Source organism: Homo sapiens, chromosome 8 (assembly GCF_000001405.40).
Source record: "Homo sapiens chromosome 8, GRCh38.p14 Primary Assembly".
NCBI lineage: Eukaryota > Metazoa > Chordata > Mammalia > Primates > Hominidae > Homo > Homo sapiens.
The window spans coordinates 93,807,131-93,827,631 of record NC_000008.11 but is presented as its reverse complement, the minus strand read 5'-3'; the positions used below and the strand labels follow the sequence as shown (position 1 = coordinate 93,827,631).

At 38.3% G+C, this 20,501-nt stretch overlaps 1 protein-coding gene across 14 annotated transcripts in view; it reads right to left on the bottom strand.

Moving 5' to 3' along the window:
* Nucleotides 1-20,501, bottom strand: part of TMEM67 (transmembrane protein 67) — a 77,810-nt gene that overhangs the window by 5,022 nt on the left and 52,287 nt on the right. For 5 of the 14 annotated variants that reach the window (NM_153704.6, XM_011517363.4, XM_006716686.5 and 2 more), the window contains 5 exons: nucleotides 18,676-18,792; nucleotides 18,471-18,575; nucleotides 17,745-17,847; nucleotides 12,185-12,327; nucleotides 9,511-11,260 (listed from right to left, as the gene is read on the bottom strand). In NM_153704.6, the coding sequence (NP_714915.3) occupies nucleotides 11,180-11,260; nucleotides 12,185-12,327; nucleotides 17,745-17,847; nucleotides 18,471-18,575; nucleotides 18,676-18,792 (549 nt within the window). In that variant the 3' untranslated portion in view covers nucleotides 9,511-11,179. Of the gene's footprint in view, nucleotides 1-2,190; nucleotides 7,514-8,393; nucleotides 8,643-9,510; nucleotides 11,261-12,184; nucleotides 12,328-16,320; nucleotides 16,515-17,744; nucleotides 17,848-18,470; nucleotides 18,576-18,675; nucleotides 18,793-20,501 lie in introns of those variants that run through there. The other 9 variants (XR_001745619.3, XR_007060762.1, XR_928360.4 and 6 more) reach the window with 9 other exon arrangements.

The following is a 20,501-nucleotide window of genomic DNA, read 5'->3' as shown; positions in this document are numbered from 1 at the left end:
ACAATAATTAGGCAGCCAAAAAATTAGGCAAAAAATACAAAAAAAAAAAAAAGAAAAAATACAAAAATTAGGCAGGCATGGTGGCACATGCCTGTAGTCCCAGCTATTCAGGAGGCTGAGGCAGGAGGATCGCTTGCCACCCTCCCAGGCTGAGCCTGGTAGGCTGCAGCTGCAGCGAGCTATGATTGCACCACTGCACTCCAGCCTGGATGACAGAATGAGACTCTGTGTCTTTTTTAGAAAATAAAATAAAATAAAATGAAGAAGGGGAGAATGGATATTCCACAGGCAACTATCAGTATCCTCCTACAGGTTGATTTATTTTGAGGTAATAATTCAGAGCTTTGCTGCAGCATAATTCATACTATGGGTCATGTTCAAATGGCAAGGTCATAACAATTTTTTCGTATATGTTGTCTCAGTTTAAACTGATGTACTTTTTATAAATTCTGCCATGCTCACCTTCTCAAGATTATCTGCCATTTAAAAATATATAAAACTGGCCAGGTGGGGTGGCTCACGTCTGTAATCCCAGCACTCTGGAAGGCTGAGGTGGGCAGATCACCTGAGGTCAGGAGTTTGAGACCAGCCTGGCCAACATGGTGAAACCTTGTCTCTACTAAAAATACAAAAAATTAGCTGGGCGTGGTGGCACGTGCCTGTAATCTCAGCTACTTGGGAGGCTGACGAAGGAGAATTGCTTGAGCCTGGGAGGCAGAGGTTGCGGTGAGCCGAGATTGCACCATTGCACTCCAGCTTGGGCGACAAAAGCGAGACTCTATCTCAAAAAATAATAATAAATAAATAAACATAAAAATATATAAAACTAAATTTTAGGATAAATGACATGTCCAAGAACAAGTGGGCTCTAATTAACATTAATCATCTTCATCCAGCATTTACTTGTAGAAGGTTATCAATTGTGGATCATGACATTAGGGAAAGAAGAGGACTTAGAGATCATTGGGCTTATAAATGAAACAGAAGCCTAGAAAGTGTAATTGATTTAGCCAAGGTCTAGTTATCAACAGAGATAGGACTAAAACCTAAACTTTTGAACTTCCAGTTCAGTGTACTTTCCACTACCCAATTAAACATGTATCTAACCTTGGAGACCATTTCTTTTGGGAGGAGGAAGAATTGAGTCACACAGCTTTCACTTTATCCCCATCATTTCAGATTCTTTCCTAACCCACTTATTTACAGAGTCCCTCAAGGCCTGATTAACTAATCCCAGCACTTTGGGAAGCCGAGGCGGGCGGATCATGAGGTCAGGAGATCAAGACCATCCTGGCTAACACGGTGAAACCCCGTCTCTACTAAAAATACAAAAAACTAGCCACGCGCGGTGGTGGGCGCCTGTAGTCCCAGCTACTTGGGAGGCTGAGGCAGGAGAATGGCGTGAACCTGGGAGGCGGAGCTTGCAATGAGCCGAGATAGCGCCACTGCAGTCCGGCCTGGGTGAAAGAGACTCCGACTCAAAAAAAAAAAAAAAAAAAAAAAAAAAAGACATGATTAACAATGCTTGTTACTTAAGGACTTACTGAACACATCATTATGGAATAAGTTATACTTCCCAAGATAGCACAACTATAGAAATGAGTCTATTATGATCCGGTTATTCTGCCTGTAAGGCAGTTAGCTTTAAGGTTTCTTATTTCAGTTCTCAGAGCTCACCATCATAGGAGGCCAAGTAGGCAGCCTCCTTCGATGTTGTAACTTTGTATGAGAAGGCTGTATGTGTACACCCAAATGGTCAATTGGGAAAGGATGGTGCAATCCATGTGGTCTGTCCCTCCCCCAAGAGAGATAACCTCTCTCAGCATCCCTGTCTCATTTCTACAACGCATATGCAGAAGGACCTAAATGTCACGAAGCCACTCATATTTGAGCAGCTCTAAATTATCTGAAAATTCTTCCCTCTTGACCTGAAATTCACCACTTCATCGCTTTCATTCATTGAGCCTAGTTCTGCAGTTGGGAGCTATATGGATATCAACTCCTTCTTCCATGGGACAATGTTTGAAGGACACCATCATGGTTCTGGTTAATTTTTTCTCCAGTTCCTTCTATTATGCTTCATGGGCATCTCAGCATCCTTCACCGTCCTGATCACCATCCTCCCAATAAAATCCAATTATCAAAGTACTTAGACCCAGACATGTTCAGAAAAAGAAACAATACCATGAATAAGGTGTGAATAGCACCCAATGGGGCCATTTCCTCCTTTATTTTGGACACTCAATTAATGTGGCCTTAAATTACATTAACAATGTCATCCCAGTGTTGTTCCATATTGAGCCTGTGGTCAGTTGAAACTATTACTGTTTTTTCTGGAGCACTGTCCTTGCGCCAGCTCTCCTTCTCTGGAATGTCGCACCTATACTCACCTCAGACATACCACAGAAGCAGTCAAATAAGTAAATGTGTCACATGAATTTGTTTTGTGGCTGTCAAATTAATAATTCAGTCATAATGACGTACTGTATTCTTTGTACACTGACCTATTCCTGGCACCGTGCTAACAACTGTACTTCTATTATCTCCTTCAATCCTTATGACAACGGTCTTGAGGCAGATATTACCCAGGTTGACAGATAAAGAAGAGGCTCATAGGCTGGGTGTGGTGGCTCATGCCTGTGATCCCAGCAGTGTGGGAGGCCAAAGTGGGTGGATCATTTTTGGTCCAGGAGTTCGAGACCAGCCTGGCCAACATGGTAAAACCCCGTCTCTACTAAAAATACAAAAAATTAGCTGCGTATGGTGGCACATGCCTGTAATCCCAGCTACTCAAGAGGCTGAGGTGGGAGAATTGCTTGAACCCGCAGGCAGAGGTTGCAATGAGTCGAGATTGTGCCACTGCACTCCAGCCTGGGCAACAGAGTGAGACCCTATCTCAAAACAAACAAACAAAAACAACAAAAAAAGAGACTCATAGAGGTGGGAGAGTTTGCTTATGATCATATGCAAAGGAAATAGAGAAGTTGGGAATTCAAAGCCAGCCCTGTCAGAATTCAAAGTCTTTGCTCTTAGCTATAATTCTACTGTGCCTCTTTATCCTAAGCATACAGAAAAAAAAAAGTGATTAAATGATGGCTCTTCCTGCAGCTTTATAACCGAGGAGAGCAGACAGAATAAGAGGAATGGGTTTGGAGTTCCATTTTCTTTAGAGAACAGGACAGATACTCTTGTGCACAAAATCTTCTAGCCTTTTACCCTCCGGGAGTTAAAGCTAAAATGTTCTAGTAATTTACAGAAATATTTAAAATGTCAATTTAATGAGTCTCCCTGGCAGCTGGCATTGTTGTGCTTGTGTGATACAAGGTAGCTAGAAAGAATATATGGAAAGCCATCTAAGATCTTATTAAAATATCAAAAATCAAAGCACCATGCAAACACTGGCCATGATTATCTCCAATCAGCTGGCTTGAGTTTCAAAGCTCAATAAGTGACATAAGAGGAAAAGAGCTCTATTATTCATTTTAAAATCTTTTTTTAAAAGTCCTGGTCTGCTACAAGCTGTCCCTTAACTCCTCACAATGAGAGCAGCTGCAAAAGAAAACTGCCAACATGAAAACAAGATCAGAATAACAGCTGACCCCAGCAAGGAGCAGACCTTTCCCAAACAGGATTAGATCATTGACTTTGGCTTTGTGTTCTGAGCTTGGTCTGTCACCCTTCTAGGTAACAATCCTTTGAAAACTGTGTGTAATGATGGCTTTGAGAGAGGCTCTAAAAAATGAGAACTGTTCAGTGGATTGAAAGACATTCAGCTAGCTAAAAAAAAAAAAAAGACAAAATCTTGTTCTGTTTGCTGTAATGGGAAAAACTGAAAACCCAAATAAAATGGAATAAGGCACTTAATTTTCTTCTAATTTTGAAACTATATTCTTGACTCTAAGTAAATCCCTTTTCGAATCTGGTCAATTCTGTCAAATGGTCAATCTAGACCCACTGTAGACAAGGATGCCCCCACATCAGGGCCTTTGCACATGCTGTTCCTTCTATCTGGAAAATTTCAGCCTCATTACCATCCTATAGTCCTGGCCAGCTTCTGCTCTTGCTTTGTCTCAGTTAAAGTATCCCTTTCACAGGCCTTTGCAGACTACCCAAACTATCGTTAAGTATGCTAGTTTTATGTTCTTGTACCCTACAGATAGATAGTGTTCTATATTAGGCAAAATAACGCCCCCACACACCCCTACCCACCCACACAAAAAAAAAAAATCCAGGTCCTAATCCCCAGAGCCTATAAATATGTTACTTTACACTGCAAAGGGGACTTCACCAATGTGATTAAGCTAAGGATCTTGAAATGGGGAAAATTATCCTGAATTATCCAGTGGGCCCAATGTAATCACAGAAGTCCTTCCAAGTCAAAGAGGGGGTCTTCCTTAGAGCCTCCAGAAGAAACCCAGCCAGGCTGACAAGTTGATTTCAGTGCAGTGAAACCCATTTCAGACTTCTGCCACCCAGAATTGTAAGATGATACTTTTATGTTGCTTAAAGCCACTCAATTTTGGTAATTTGTTACAGAAGCAATAGGATAAGAACACAGTACTTACTATGCTTTTATTGATTTGTTGTTCTGTCTTTTAACTATAAGCTCTGTAAAAGTAGAGGCAATGTCTTATCTACCTCCATATCCTTAGCACCTAGTGTCCCATTTGGGGAAATTGTATATAGATAAAGGGCATTATATACTTTAGATAAGAGTTTGATTTTTAAAGAGATTTTAATGTAATATGTATTTCATTAAAATGAAGGAAGATTCCTGAATCATTAGATAATTCGTTCTTAAATTTTTTCTGAAGCATGACCTGTTTTGTGATCCCATTCCCTAGGAGATGGATGAAAGTATATCATCTTTATTTTAGCATTCAATTCCCTAACCTGGGTTTTAAAAACTCAGCACTAGATTTAGAATGCACTGTAGTCATCTGAGCTGCCCAGCACTCTGATGCAGTAAAGGGAGAGACGACAGAAGTTAGGAGGGGGACAAAGAGTGAAGTGGAAGATGGGGAGAATGGCGTTCCTCTTGCCTCCGCCGTCCTGTGAGCACACCTACCTTTGAGCTACAGTCAGAAGGGCCCCAGCCTGGTCCTGAAAAGGTTACTGTGCACTCCACTGCCATCTGCTGTCAGCCATGGGTTTGGTCAAATACAAACTTGAGTCTTCCTGTCTTTAAGATTCAGGATAGTCCAACCAAAAGTTACAGATTAACGCGAATCCCCTCACTTTACATAGTAAACAGTATGAAAGTTCTTTTGCTTCACACATTCTTGCCCACACATGGTATTTTAAGTTTTTAACTTTTAGCCATTTTGTTGGTTTTGTAGTGGTATCACACGGTTTTATTTTGCATTCTTATGACTAACAAGGTTGAGCACTTTTCACAGGTGTTTATTGGTCATTTGGAAACCTTCTTTTGAGGGATGGCTACTTGAGCCTTGCTCATTTTTCTATTGTGTTGCCTGTCTTCCTTATTGATGTGATGAGTTCTTTATTCAGGACAGGAGTGCTTTGTCTAATCTGTTTGCAATTTTTTTTCTCAGATTGAGGTTTGCCTTTTCATTCTTATAATGGGGTCTTCTGATGTACAGTGTTCCTGATTTTAATGTAAATTCCAAATTTACACATATAAATTTACAAAAGTATAAATTTACCACAAATTGTAAAGTCCAATTTACCAATCTTTTATTTTATGGTTCATCTTTTTTGGGTCTTATTTTGAGACAGACAGGGTCTCACTGTGTCACCCAGGCAGGCTGGAGTTCAATGGTGTGATCTTGGTTTACTACAATTTCCACCTCCCTGGGCTCAAGTGATCCTCCTTCCTGAGTAGCTGGGACTACAGGCACATGCCACCATACCTGGCTAATTTTTTGTATTTTTGGTAGAGACAGGGTTTCACCATGTTGCCCAGGCTTGTCTTGAACTCCTGAGATCAAGTGATCCACCCGCCTTGGCCTCCCAAGGTGCTGGGATTACAGGCATGAGTCACCATGCCTAGGCTTTTTGGGGTCTTAAGAAATCTTGGCAGGCTAGGTGCAGTGGCTCACACACAGGTGTGTAATCCTAGTGCTTTGGGAGAATGAGGGTGGAGGATCGCTTGAGGCTAGGAGTCTCTGAGTCCAGCCTGGGCAACATAATGAGACTCTGTCTCTACAAAAAAATTTAAAATTATCCAAGCATGGAGGCATGTGCCTGTAATCCCAACTACTCTGGAGGCTGAGGTGGGAGGATCGTTTGAGCCTGGGAGGTCGAGTCTACAGTGAGCCATGATTGTGCCACTGCACTCAAACCTGGGCAACAGAGAGTGACCCTGTCTCAAAACAAAATAAAAAACTAAAAGACCTACATGAAAGTCATGAATATATTCCCCTTTTATCTTCTAGAAACTTTACCATTTACCCTTTCACATTTAAATTTAGCATCTACCTGAAATTGATTTTTGTGTAAGTGTGACATAGAGGTATGCATTTTTTCCACTGGGATATTCAATGGCACATCTAAAAAACACCTTTCCCTTACTGCACTGCATGCTACCCTTGTCATGTGTGTGTATATACATATCCACACACCCGTGGACTTGTCCCTGGACTTCATTCTACTGATCATCTGTGATTATTTATTTATCCTTGGGCCACAGCCATGTATTCCTTGTAACAATAATAATTACAATGGAAGCAATGATTATTATAAAAATAACAGAAGCAGTTATTTTTTAAAACCCATAGACAACTGTGTGGCAGGCAGTTTGTCTATTGCTACTTCTAGCACACCCAGCAATGAGACAGTGTCTTAATGTAGTCTCTAGTGGGTCTAATCTGGGTCTCTCTTTCTGCACTAAATATTAATGGGAACTACTACTACTATTACTACTACTACACAGCTTATATTCACATAGCATTTACTATGTGCCAGGCACTTTTCTAAGCACTGTACACAATAACTCATTTAATCTTCCCAATAAGTCTTTGAGGTAGGTACTATTTATCTCTTTTACAGATGAGACAATTTAATCATGACTTGCCCAAATTGCACAGCCAGTAAGTGGTGCAGCCGGGACTTGAACACAGGCCAATCTGGCTCCAGGGTCTGTGCTCTCAACTACTACCCTTGGTGCCTCTCTTATGGGCAGTGGGGCAATGTATTTTCTTGCAAACCACAACATGCAGCCAAGGAACAGAGAGCAGGAACACTTATCTCCAACTTGGTTAAACACTCCATGCACGTGATGGAGATGTGGCCCAACATAAAAACCTTTAATGATGTGACTCCTGTTTTCCTTTCCAACCTCATTGCCCTCCAAAGCCCCCAAACATACTGTTCTGTGTCCTTTTATGTAGTGATGAGTGAGGAATGACAAGGGGAGACAGGAAAGTTTCTTACACTCACAGGTCCTAGAAACAGATGGCACGGCACACCATGCACAGCCATGGGGGAAAGCACCAGTCAGGAGGCAGGAGCACCAGGAGCCAGGGCAGAGCCTGGGTGCTTACTGGAGTTTCTGAGGAAATGGCAAGGCAGGGTGGGGTCAACAGTTTGGGATCGGCTCGTTGGAATAATTTCAGTGTGCTCTAAACTACAGAGACTATCCCTAGTTGCCCGTTACCTGGTCCTGGGATGATTTAAGGAAGAGGAACATTGCCTCCTAGGGTTTCAGGGCCAGACAGAGGAGGTGTGGCTCAGGTCTATAGTTTGTATATCAAAGGTATGCTCCCACCTGAGTTCTTTGCTGTCTAAAAGAACTGGGGAGCCCCAGGAGGGACAATCACTCCCCAGAAGGGAAGGTTTCTTAAAATGACAAAACATCTTATACAGACAACTTTTAAAATATAAACAGTACATGTACTCTGATTCAAACTGCCCGTAGTGCCCCAAACTGCCATGTGCTGCTTTGTCTCTGAGCACATACTGTTCCATGCTTTGGTTGCACTTGTTTTTTTTTGTTTATCTTAAAATCTTAGATCAAATCCACTTCTCTGAGGTCAAAGCCCTGATGACCCAGAAGTACAGTTAAGAGCTTTCCTTATATCACACCCCGGTACTGCAGCACGTTTCATATTGCTGTAATTACTGGTTAATTTACCTCTTTCTCTTACAAATTATAAGACCCTTCTGAGGGGCTGGGGAGTGGGAAGAGGTAGAAACATTGTTGGAATGAATGAGCAAATGAAAAAAACCCTCCCTCCCAGAGACAATACTCCACTCTTCCTGTTCTCTCCACCCTCTATCACAAACTGTGTCTCCCACAGGGGTGTTGTCTTCTTTTATGTTTTACATCTATCGGTGACCTCTATCTGGGCCTCTTCCTGGCAGAGCTGGGGGTGGCTGAGGAAGAAGGCAGGCTCAGAATTTTCATTGGTCAGTTATTGAGATCAGTAATCTGAGTTTTAATATCATATTATTAATTTATTAGCAAGAAAAAAATATATTTTGGGGCAGATATTTTAAACTAAAAATAAAAATTCCAGCATTCATAGTTTACTCAATGTTAAAAGCACATTCTAAGAAACTAATCCTGGCCATGTGTAGTGGCTGACACCTGTAATCCCAGCACTTTTGGAGGCCGAGGTGGGTGAATCTCTCGATCAGGAGTTCAAGACTAGCCTGGGCAACATGGTGAACCCTTGTCTCTACAAAAAAAATACAAAAAATTAGCTGGGCATGGTGGTGCACACCTGTTGTTCCAGCTACTTGGGAGGCTGAGGTGGAGGACTGCTTGAGCCTAGGAGGCAGAGGTTAGAGTGGGCCAAAATCGTGCCACTGCATTCCAACCTGGGTGATAAGAGTGAGACCCCATCTCTCTCTCTCTGTCTCACACACACACACCCACGAAACTAATCCTTACAACAAGTGGTAAGCAAAGGATATTATTTTCATTGCAGAGATGTAGAATGAAGCTCAATGATGGCAAATGACTTAGTTCAAGATACCAAAGCTTATGAGTGATGGGCAAAATTCTAATTTGAATCCAGGGCTTCTTTTGCTAAATTTGGAGCACTTTCCATTAAGCCACACTCCTCACTGCTCCTTGACTTACAGTTATTTCCCCTCAGCTTATATTTGTCAATATTTACAAAAAAAACACATGCTTCATGCTTGTAAGTGCTGAGTTAATGATCATTTTGAATGTTCCTCAATGTAGGTCATCAGCAAAGCCTTCTGAAAAGGCAGTTAGGACAGCAATGCCAGAGAAGGAAGCATTTACAAATCTCCCATAACAGAGGCACTGGTCTACAGAAGTATTTTAGGGGCCTGTATGTTTCTAAGGAGCATCCAAAGTACACAACAGCTTATAAAGAACCTCTCTAGGTTTTGTTTCATTATGAAATGAAGAGAAATCAAATGTTTCTAGAAAATCAGTAAAATCAGGGATATAAGAGTCAAAGTATAGTGATTGGGTACTACAGAAATAGACAAAGGGTAATGAATCTAGTGAATAATTATGCACATGATCAGGAAATGTAAATTGTGACAATGTGAACAAAGGAGTCGACAGTGTATGAAAATCTGAACACATTTTTATGCACCTAGCCAAAATAAAAATATCATACAAAATTTAGAATGATTTTAAATGTTTTCTGTTTTAATTTATCAGCAAGTAAGCCAATTGATCCTTTATTGTGAAATTTAATACTTAAAAACTTTTGCACTAAAATTAACTTCTTCTATGTTGAATGATGGTTGAATTTCTTTCATATGCTTCTGAGTGAGTGGTTTTAAATATCCATGCCATATAAGTACATGTATTTATCTCTGCAGCTTTTATAAAGGCATTCCTGTACTGTGATCCTTCAGAAACTGCAGTTTCAAAGACTTCCTTTTCAGTCATCCTCAAGATTCAGGGAAATGTAAAAGATTCAACTTTGGCAATGGCTGGGACCTCTGCCCCAATAATGTTATATTCCTAAATGGTACTCCATCAGATATACATTAATGAAACAGAAAACAGAAATACCAAATGTTTTAGTATATATTTTCATCTGAGAAAATATAAATAATATTTATACAGTATTCCATTTTAAGTATTTACACAGCATTAACATAGAAAGCAGTGAGAAACATGATACATTTACAGTGTTTTGTTTTTGTTTTTTCTGAGACAGGGTCTTGCTCTGTCATCCTGGCTGGAGTGCAGTGGTGCTATCTGGCTCACTACAGCCTCCACCTCCTGGTTTCAAGCTATTCTCATGCCTCAGCCTCCCAAATAGCTGGGATTACAGGCCACCACATCCAACTAATTTTTGTATTTTTTGTAGAGATGGGGTTTTCCATGTTGGCCAGGCTGTTCTTGAACTCCTGACCTAAAGTGATCCACGTGCCTTGGCCTTCCAAAGTGCTGGGATTACAGGCGTAAGCCACAGCGCCCAGCCTTACTGTTTGTTATTTACAGTCTTTAAACGTAATTGAAAAGCAAAACTCTGGAAGAGAACTCTTAAAACATTAAGTAATTAAAATGTATAAAAAATGATATTGGGAAAAATGTCATACGTTATAACTTAATAAATGTAAACTATATTAGAAATGCAAATATATTTCATGGAAAGCGTATACTGACCTAATACAGGTATACAAAGGAATGAAAAGATATCATTTCATGAGATGCATATTAACCCAACAGTGAATTAATCCACTGCCAAAGAGGATGAGCAATTAGAATGATGCAAATTGAATCAGCAATAATACAATTTAAAATTTCTAAGTAAACTTGAAAATATCTTTCAACATTTATTTAACCATAAGCACACAAAACATGAAAATATCAAACTGAAAACTAGTCTTAAACTTGGAATCAAATTACTTTGTCAATGTGAGAAGATTCAGGCAGCTCTCAGTTTATAAAATAATCTACAGAGACAAATGATGGGGACTGTTTTAATTAGCATTAAAAAGTATTATGCTGAAAGCAACATTTAGATTTTTTTTGGCCTCACTGTCAGTATTAATTTATTATTTACTGCATTAAATACTACACACAATGGGAAAACAGTATTTTCTATTATATCAGGTTATATATTCCCAAGTTATAAAAATAAATCTTTCTGCAAATAAAAAACAAAAACAGAATAGTCTGCATTATAAGTTTTAAAAAATATGGCAAACTAACCTGATATCATGACTTTTTTTTGGCCATGATTATACTGAGTCTTTAAGTTATTTATTCAGGAAGTTAAATCAAAAATCTTTGATCCACCAATGTTTTGGATGCCAAATTCTTTTGTCCTACTGTATTACGGATATATCTAAAAATCTGGAAAATTAAAACAATTCAGAATGAAAAGAAATATAAACAGAATTAAATATGCACGTCGATTAAAATATCTAGATTAAATTAGCTAATTCTCTCAACTATTTTCATGTATCAGGTATCTGAATCCCATAGTGATACATAAAATTATTTCAAGATGATAATTTCTTTCATAGTTTCATAGTATGTTCCCATTTAGAGTAAATTCTTATGAATTAATAATACAAATTCTCTCATGTTCACAGAAATACACTTTAAAATATATAGAAAGGCAACTTTCTTCTAAGTCTAAAACTACGGAAACATCAAAAGAATCTACTCACTAGAGATAGAATTTCTTCACAATTCTAGATCACTGTCAAGGACTAATAAATTGCATCTTACTTATATATACTTCTTTGACATAGTGGAGAATATTTAGTTGATAATAACACCATTTCAAGAACAGATTTGCCAATTCTTGAAATCTCTATTTCAGGGTCCACACTCATACATGAAGTTGCTTTTTATCCACACAGGTGGGGGAGGTGTCAAAGCTGCAAGCTTTGGTGCTGAGCCCTGAGCTAGCTCTCCAGTGCTTGTTTTTTTGTTACTTAACGTCTGGAGAGGGTGGATGGGACTCTAATTACTGTTCACTTGTAGCATCTAGGAGACTAGCAGTTAAGTGTCTTCCTATAGGATTCCTCTTCCATGTATAATCAAGCAACTTATGCCCTCCACTAGACCCCAGTATTTCATTGACCCTAAAGGACAGAGTACAGTTGGTTGAAATGTTATTCCTTCTTTTGGTGGGGTTAGTCATATTCTAAACCTTTACAAAATTGTAGTAAAAGTAGACATTGTTACTCTCTGCTATGAAAATATCTACTTCTAACATATTTCTCTCAAGAAAATGAAGGAAAATGTAGAAAAATTTTAAAAGTTTACCTCTTGTTGTAGATATGTAAGGAAGGATGCTAAAATAAAATTTTGGCAAGCCAAATCCACAACACAGAAGAACAGCAGATCAAAAATAAGAAGAGTAGCTTCATTTCCATAATACAGGACACTGCTGAAAGAATAACCTTCATCTATTAAAAAAATTTAGAAAATATAAATTAGAAATTTAAAAAAGGAACAAGTCTGTGATAAACTTCTGGTGACAAAATCTGGATGTTTAAAAACAGCACATTAGAAACATACTGTATACAATACTTCATGGCTTACACAAAAATAAACAAACATTTTAAGATTTGTTCATCTAAAAGAGGTTAGTTAAAAACTCATAAAAACTTCTAAAAAGCAGTTTTAACATTAGGACCAATGGTTGGTAATTGCTAGTAGTGTAAGTTTCAAAGACCATTTAATAAATAGCCTTTCTCTATTTCTTTATACAACTAAAAGCTAAATTAGTCTTACAAACATTCCCTAAGATACAGTAAATCAGAGAAAAAACCAGCAAGGCATAGAGTAAGTACATAGTGTTCAAGAGTTCAAGAATTTATCTCAAATAGTCCCGCTGAGGTTTTGCTCTAAGACCTCTTCTCACTCCACCAGCGAGTTTCATCCTTATTGGGATGTGAACACCCTTTTAAAAAGATTATGATGAGGCCGGGCACAGTGGCTCATGCCTGTAATTCCAGCACTTTGGGAGGCTGAGGCAGGAGGACTGCTTGAGGCCAGGAGTTCAAGACCAGCCTAGGCAACATAGTCAGACTCCATCTCTACAAAAAAAAAAAAAAAGAAAGAAAGAAAAGCTAGGTCTGGTGGGTCTGCTGGTGCACACCTGTAGTCTTAGCTATTTGGGAAGCTGAGATGGGAGGACTGCATGAACCAAGGAGTTTGAGGTTATAGCGAGCTATTAATATGATTGCACCACTGCACTCTAGCCTGGGCAACAGAGCAAGAACCTGTCACTAAAAAAAAACAAAAAAAAGCCCGATGAAAGCTATAGATCTTTCCATTAGGAAAAAAAAAAAAAAAGTATACATAAACTTGGGAGGCCGAGGCGGGCAGATCACGAGGTCAGGCGATCAAGACTATCCTGGCTAACACGGTGAAACCCCGTCTCCACTAAAAATACAAAAAATTAGCCACGCATGGTGGCGGGCGCCTGTAGTCCCAGCTACTCAGGAGGCTGAGGCAGGAGAATAGCATGAACCTGGGAGGCGGAGCTTGCAGTGAGCCGAGATCGTGCCACTGCACTCCAGCCTGGGCAACAGAGCAATACTACGTCTCAAAAAAAAAAAAAAAAAAAAAAGTATACATATACAACTCTTGCAAACAATTAAACAATTTCAGGGAAATCCAGAGAACCACTGAAGCAGCCCATGGACACCCAGTTAGGAACATCTGCTTTATACAAGAGGGCATGTGGAGTGCTGGTAATGTTCTCTCTTGAAAGGGTACTAGTTACAGGGGTATATTCAGTTTGTGAAAATTCACTGATCTATAAGTTATATCCTTACAAAATATGCACATTACACTTGCATATATAATCTTAAAAAACCTGTTTTACATGCTCTCTCTTGGTGATTTTCTACTAACATTGCTCCAGCAATGACTTCATATGATAGCAACTCCTCAATTTATTGTGTGCTTCTACTTTCTCCTACAACCTGGTCCCTTATATTTAATGCCTACTGGATACCTCTTCCTAGATGTCCTGAAGTACCTCAAGATGCAACATACTGAAAACTAAATTCATCCTCTTTCCCTCAAAACCTGATCCTCCCTCTGTATTGCCTCTGTTATTGAAAAGCACCACCACCCACTTAGTCACACAGCCAGAAGTCTGGATAATTTTTGACTACTCTTTTCTCTTAACATTTCTGGCAATCCTTTCTTCTTCTCTAGCCCCACTGCTACTGCCTTAGCTCATAGTCTCATCATCTCTTGATGAAGACGAAGGTAGTGAGATCGGGCACAGTGGCTCACACCTGTAATCCCAGCACTTTGGGAGGCCGAGGTGGGCAGATCTCTTGAGGTCAGGAGTTCGAGGCCAGCCTGGCCAATATGGTGAAACTCCATCTCTACTAAAAATACAAAAATTAGCCAGGTGTGGTGGCAGGTGCCTGTAATCCCAGCTACTTGGGTAGCTGAGGCAGGAGAACTGCTTGAACCTGGGAGGCGGAGGTTGCAGTGAGCCGAGATTGTGCCACTGCACTCCAGCCTAGACAACAGAGCGAGACTCCATCTCCAAAAAAAAGCAGATAGAGAAATGGAAGAACATACTTAGAAAGAAGAGGAAGATAGGAGGAAGAGGAAGGAAGACTGCAGGAGAAGGAACAAAGGAGAAAGGAAGAAAAAAGCAGGAAGAAGGAAGAAAGAAGGTGATGATTGTATTATTAAAAATAATAGGGCCAGACACGGTGACTCATGCCTGTAATCCCAGCACTTTGGGAGGCTGAGGCGGGTGGATCACATGAGGTCAGGGGTTCAAGACCAGCCTGACCAACATGGTGAAACCCCGCCTCTACTAAAAATACAAAAATTACCCAGGTGTGGTGGCACACGCCTGTAATCCCAGCACCTGGGAGGCTGAGGCAGGAGAATCGCTTGAACCTGGGAGGCAGAGGTTGTAGTGAGCCAAGATTGCACCATTGTGCTCCAGCCTGGGCAACAAGAGTGAAACTCCATCTCAAACAAAAAAAATAATAACAATAATAACATTTCCTTTCTGAGTGCCTACCCATAACAGATACTTTACTGGGTTCTTTATATTAACACATAATAACCCCACAAAACTTTTAGAGGATTGTAACCAATTTTACAAAGAAGGCACTAAAGTTCAGAAACGCTAGGCAAGTTTCTCAAAGTTCACAAAGCCAGTAAATGGTAGAGTCAGGTTTTGAATCCAAGACCAGAAGACTTTGAAAGCTACAATATTTTTGTTTGTTTGTTTTTGTTTTACAGAGACAGGGTCTTGCTCTGCCACCCAGGCTGTAGTGCTATGGCATGATCATAACTCACTGCAGCCTCGAACTGCTGGGGTCAAGTGACCGCCTGCCTTGGCCTCCCAAAGGGCTGGTATTACAGATGTGAGCCACTATGCCCTGGAGGAAAGCTATAATCCTAATGTCTAAATTATGCTGTTACAATTTTCCATCTATTCAACTCAACTTGTAACCTACTGACAGAGTAATTCTTCCAATTTACAAATCAGATCTGCTTAGCACCCTTCAATGATATCCATGTTCATTGGCAGTGGTTTCTTTTTCTTTTCTTTACTTTTTTTTTTTTTTTTGAGACAGAGTTTTGCTCTTGTTGCCCAGGTTGGAGTGCAATGGTGCGATCTCAGCTCACCACAACCTCCGCTTCCTGGGTTCAAGCGATTCTCCTGCCTCAGCCTCCCAAGTAGCTGGGATTACAGGCATGCACCACCATGCCCGGCTAATTTTGTATTTTTAATAGAGACAGGGTTTCACCATATTGGCCAAGCTGGTCTCGAACTCCTGACCTCAGGTGATCCACCTGCCTCGGCCTCCCAAAGTGCTAGGATTACAGGCATGAGCCACCGCACCTGGCCCCATTAGCAGTGGTTTCTTCTTTTTTTTTGAGACGGAGTCTTGCTCTGTCCTCCAGGCTGAAGTGCAGTGGTGCGATCTCGGCGCTCACTAGCAGTGGTTTCTAAATCATTTTGATCATGCATCTCTATCAGAATAAGATGTTGAGCATGCAACCCGTAATAGATATAATAGAAATATTTTATTAATTACTACTCTATATAATATAAACTTAAAAATAGATTAAGGGTGATTAAACTGCAAATATACAAATAGACATTTTAATATTTTCTTTTCACACCTCCGTGATCAACTTATATACATCTTGTGGGGCAAAAAAATAAAAAAAAATTTTTTTTGGAAACAACAGGTTTACAGGATAGAGTGAAATTCCTTAGTGTATCAGGCAAGGACTTTGGAATTTGGTCTCTGCCTTCTTTATCTTTCAAGTACTCTCTTCCACTGTGTCCCACTTCATATCAGACTTTATAAAGTTTGTAAGTGCATAATGCACTTTGCGCACTGTTTTTGAATCCCCTTTTCCCTGTCTGCATGAATGTCTTTGCCTCTTTCTCTTACCTTGATCCTCTTGATTGACAAACAGCTACTGATTTTTTAAAATCCAGTTCAAACTTCTCCAGGTTGCCTCTTCTGGCTTTACCTCATATCTGGTTAGATTTTCTATGCTCCCTTCTGTCCCTGGCATAACCTGTGCCTGCACAGACTTCTGTGGCAGTACCACCCTACTTATTCACATGTCTGTCTTCCATAGTCTGTTAAACAAGATACCCAAGGTAGGGATCATTCGTCTGTGTATCTCAGACTGACACAATATCTGGCATGCAATAACATATGGGTAAATGATATCTAGGCCAGGGCACTGGTTATACCACTTCCATTCTTACTCATACAATAGGTTATCAGTCATACTACAAATGACATGTATACTATCTTTTTAATATGAAACCAGTTTTAATCACTACTCCTGTCACAAATAATAGTGATTTTTACAAACTTGGATAAGATAAAAAATTAAATGTTAAAGATTAATCACAAATGTTATTCTTTTAAGTGTTTCATAGTTTGGCATTAAACAAACAGTCCAATAAAATCTGAATTTTATTTGTTTTACTATCTCTTCCATGTGGACTGTTGATTCTGAAATTCACCTGAATACTTTCTTATAGAATCTTGTATGTATTTGTTTCCTGCTACACGACATAATAAAATAGAACACAGAAAAGAATTCATGAGGTTAACTGAGTTCATTATGTTTCCTTTGTTTTTATGTAAAATTATTATTATTATTTGAAACAGAGTTTCACTCTTGTTGCCCAGGCTGGAGTGCAATGGAGTGATCCCAGCTCACTGCAACCTCTGCCTCCCAGGTTCAAGCCATTCTCCTGCCTCAGCCTCCCAAGTAACTGGGACTATATGTGCCTGCCACCATGCCTGGCTAAGTTTTGTATTTTTAGTAAAGACGGGTTTCACCATGTTGGCCAGGCTGGTCTGGAACCCCTGACCTCAGGTGATCCACCTGCCTCGGCCTCCCAAAGTGCTGGGATTACAGGCATGAGCCACCGCACCTAGCCAAAAAATTATTAAACCAAAAGAAAAATATCAGCTGGGGGTGGTGGCTCATGCCTGTAATCCCAGCACTTTGGGAGGCCGAGGTGGGCGGATCACGAGGTCAAGAGATCAAGACCATCCTGGCTAACACAGTGAAACCCGTCTCTACTAAAAATACAAAAAAAATTAGCTGGGCGTGATGGCGGGCGCCTGTAGTCCCAGCTACTTGGGAAGCTGAGGCAAGAGAATGGCATGAACCCGGGAGGCGGAGCTTGCAGTAAGCTGAGATCGTGCCACTGCACTCCAGCCTGGGCAACAGAGCAAGACGCCGTCTAAAAAAAAAAAAAAAAGAAAAAAAGAAAAATATCTACAAGCACTTTTTTCTCAAACTTTGAAAACAGTTATCAAGTTCTACAAAGGGATTTAGAAGATACCATTGTAAAAGATGCTTTTTTCCATTGGTTCCATGAATTCCATTCCAAGAATTCTTTCAAGAAGCAACTTATCTTTTATAAAGTAATCCATTTCCTTATGAACCTAATAAAGAAAAAGACAGCATCATTTCACAAACAGTAGTGAAATAAATGCTTTGCAATTAATGTAAAATCAGCAGGAGAGAAAATGAAAAATGAATAGTATATAAAGAAAATCTGTTCTTCAAAAAGACTGAAGTTACTACATTGAAACCTATAACAAAATTCTCTACAGGAATGTTTTAAATTTTAAATGTCCTTAGTAGTATTTAGGGCTAGATATAGTGAAAATCAATTTATAAAATGCTTTTTAGAAATACAATCATAGCATAACACAAGGATTTCAATAATGAATAATACAGTAATATTTTGGTAACTGGTAACAAAATTCCAGTGCAGACATAGTTTAAGGGAATCATGATTATGTTAACAGACACATAAAATTTCATTTTACTTTTGCGTAACCTAATTCTATCCCTAAGCCATAGTTTGTTAATGGCTAGAAATGTCTTTTAAAAATATATTATTCCTAAGTATTGAATGTGACAGACAAAAAAAGGGAAGGTCTTAAGGTGGGGGTTCTAAGTTTACTGACTTGGTTGACTTGAAGAAATAATTGACATTCCCACTTAACTTTTTAAAAATTGCATTTGATCCCAGCTTAAATATAAATGTTGACATACATACATGGTCAATGAAGGAGCCAAGAAATTTATTCATCATATGATATGCTTTTATACTCTGCTCAAAAGTACTTGCTGATGAACTCAGTAGTCTAGCAGGACCATTTTTCTAATGTAAAAAAGAGAAATGAATACAAAGTGTTATGTTCTTGGTATCTAAAAAACATGAAATATTGACAGAATATATCTGAACTGTACTTTATACAAACCCTTATTAGTGTCTCATGAATTCTGTCATAATGTTGTCTCATCTGGTTAGAAATTGCAATCTCAAAAGTCTGACCATCTGTGTTGGGTACCAAACCTCTCTGGCTACACAAATTTTCCTGAAAAGTTAAAGAATTTAAGTTAAGATCAAAATTATAAAAAATTTCCTGCCTCAAAAAGAAAATACAGAACTTTTTTTTAGCTGTTATCACATATTACAAGATTCAGGTGCTAAGTGAAATTCACTGAAACTGTATTTGAGAAACAGATTCTACCATTATCCAAGGTTCCCAGATTTTGCTAATTTCTACTTTATTCTAATTCATACTCCCTTGCAGGTCTTTATATCATCTCCTTTGCTCTACTTAAATATATATATATATTTATCTATAATAGATATATTATAGATATATATAGATTATAGATATATATAGATTATAAATATATATATTCATCTATAATAGATCTATTATAGATAAATATCTATAATAGATAAATATATATTTATATATAATAAATATATAATAGATAAATATATATCTATAATAGAGAAATATATTTATATATAATATATAAATATTTATAGTAGATAAATATATATCTATAATAAATATATATATTTATTATCTATAATTTATTGTCTATAATATATATGATAATATATATAATCCATAATAGGTATATATATTTATATATTTATCACATATATTTATATATTTAAGTAGAGCATATATATATTTTTAGGTAGAGCATATATATATATTTAAGTAGAACAGAGTAAAGGAGATGATATAAAGACATATATATGTTTATTGTATATTGATATTCTTAGCTTCCTTTATAATTGACCTTATTGCTCTTTTAATGTATGCTGAAAGGTCTTGCTTTGGAGTTAACTAGTCTTATAATTGCAAATGATCTTTTTTGTTTTCTAAACATTTTTAAGATGCTTCCTTAATTAATTCCAATAAAACATAGTGATACATGACCAAACAGTTAATGTTATGAACCAGATATCCATATCCATTTTGGGTTTCCCTGACACAACTTGGATCCTGACAACCACAAATATGTAAAAAAAATTTTGATTTGATTGATGCTTCAAGGTTCGACTCAAGTTCTCTGGCCTTCATAAAGCCTGTCTACCTACTCCACAGGTTAATATTTTCCTTCTTTGTCTAAATCTAACCCGAAAACATAATATGGCACTTGGCTTTCTATACACTTAAAGGAAGAATACATGTAGTGAACTTCTCTATTTAAAAAATTTTTTTCTTGATTAAAAATATTCATGCCATTGCAGAAAATTTACAAAATAAAGAGAAATACAAAAAAGAAAATAAAAATATTACCTAAAATCTCAACACCCAGAAATATAGATATCTTAAGGAATTTCATTTCCAGTATTTTTTATAAGGCATGTACATATAAATAGCATAAAATTGGGATCACAATGACTCCTTTTTCACTTAACGTTATAGCCTGAGCAATTCTCCATGTCATCAAATATTCTACAAAATATGATTTTACCATCTGCTTAAGATTTCACCGCAAAGGTAAACCAATTTATTTAATATTCTCCAATTTTTACATACTTTTCCCCTTACAAATAACCTCTGTGATAAAGATCCTGAATTTAAGTAGCTGTTCATATTGTTAATTTTTCCTTGAGTTAACATTCATAAAATCAGTGAATCAAAGATTATGAACCTTAAAAAGCTCTTGGTATATACATTGCCCAAACACTTTCCAGAAGGTCTGCATAAATTCAACCTGCCACCAGTAGCTTTGTGGTTGCCCATTTCACTGTGTCCTTGATGCTATTAAG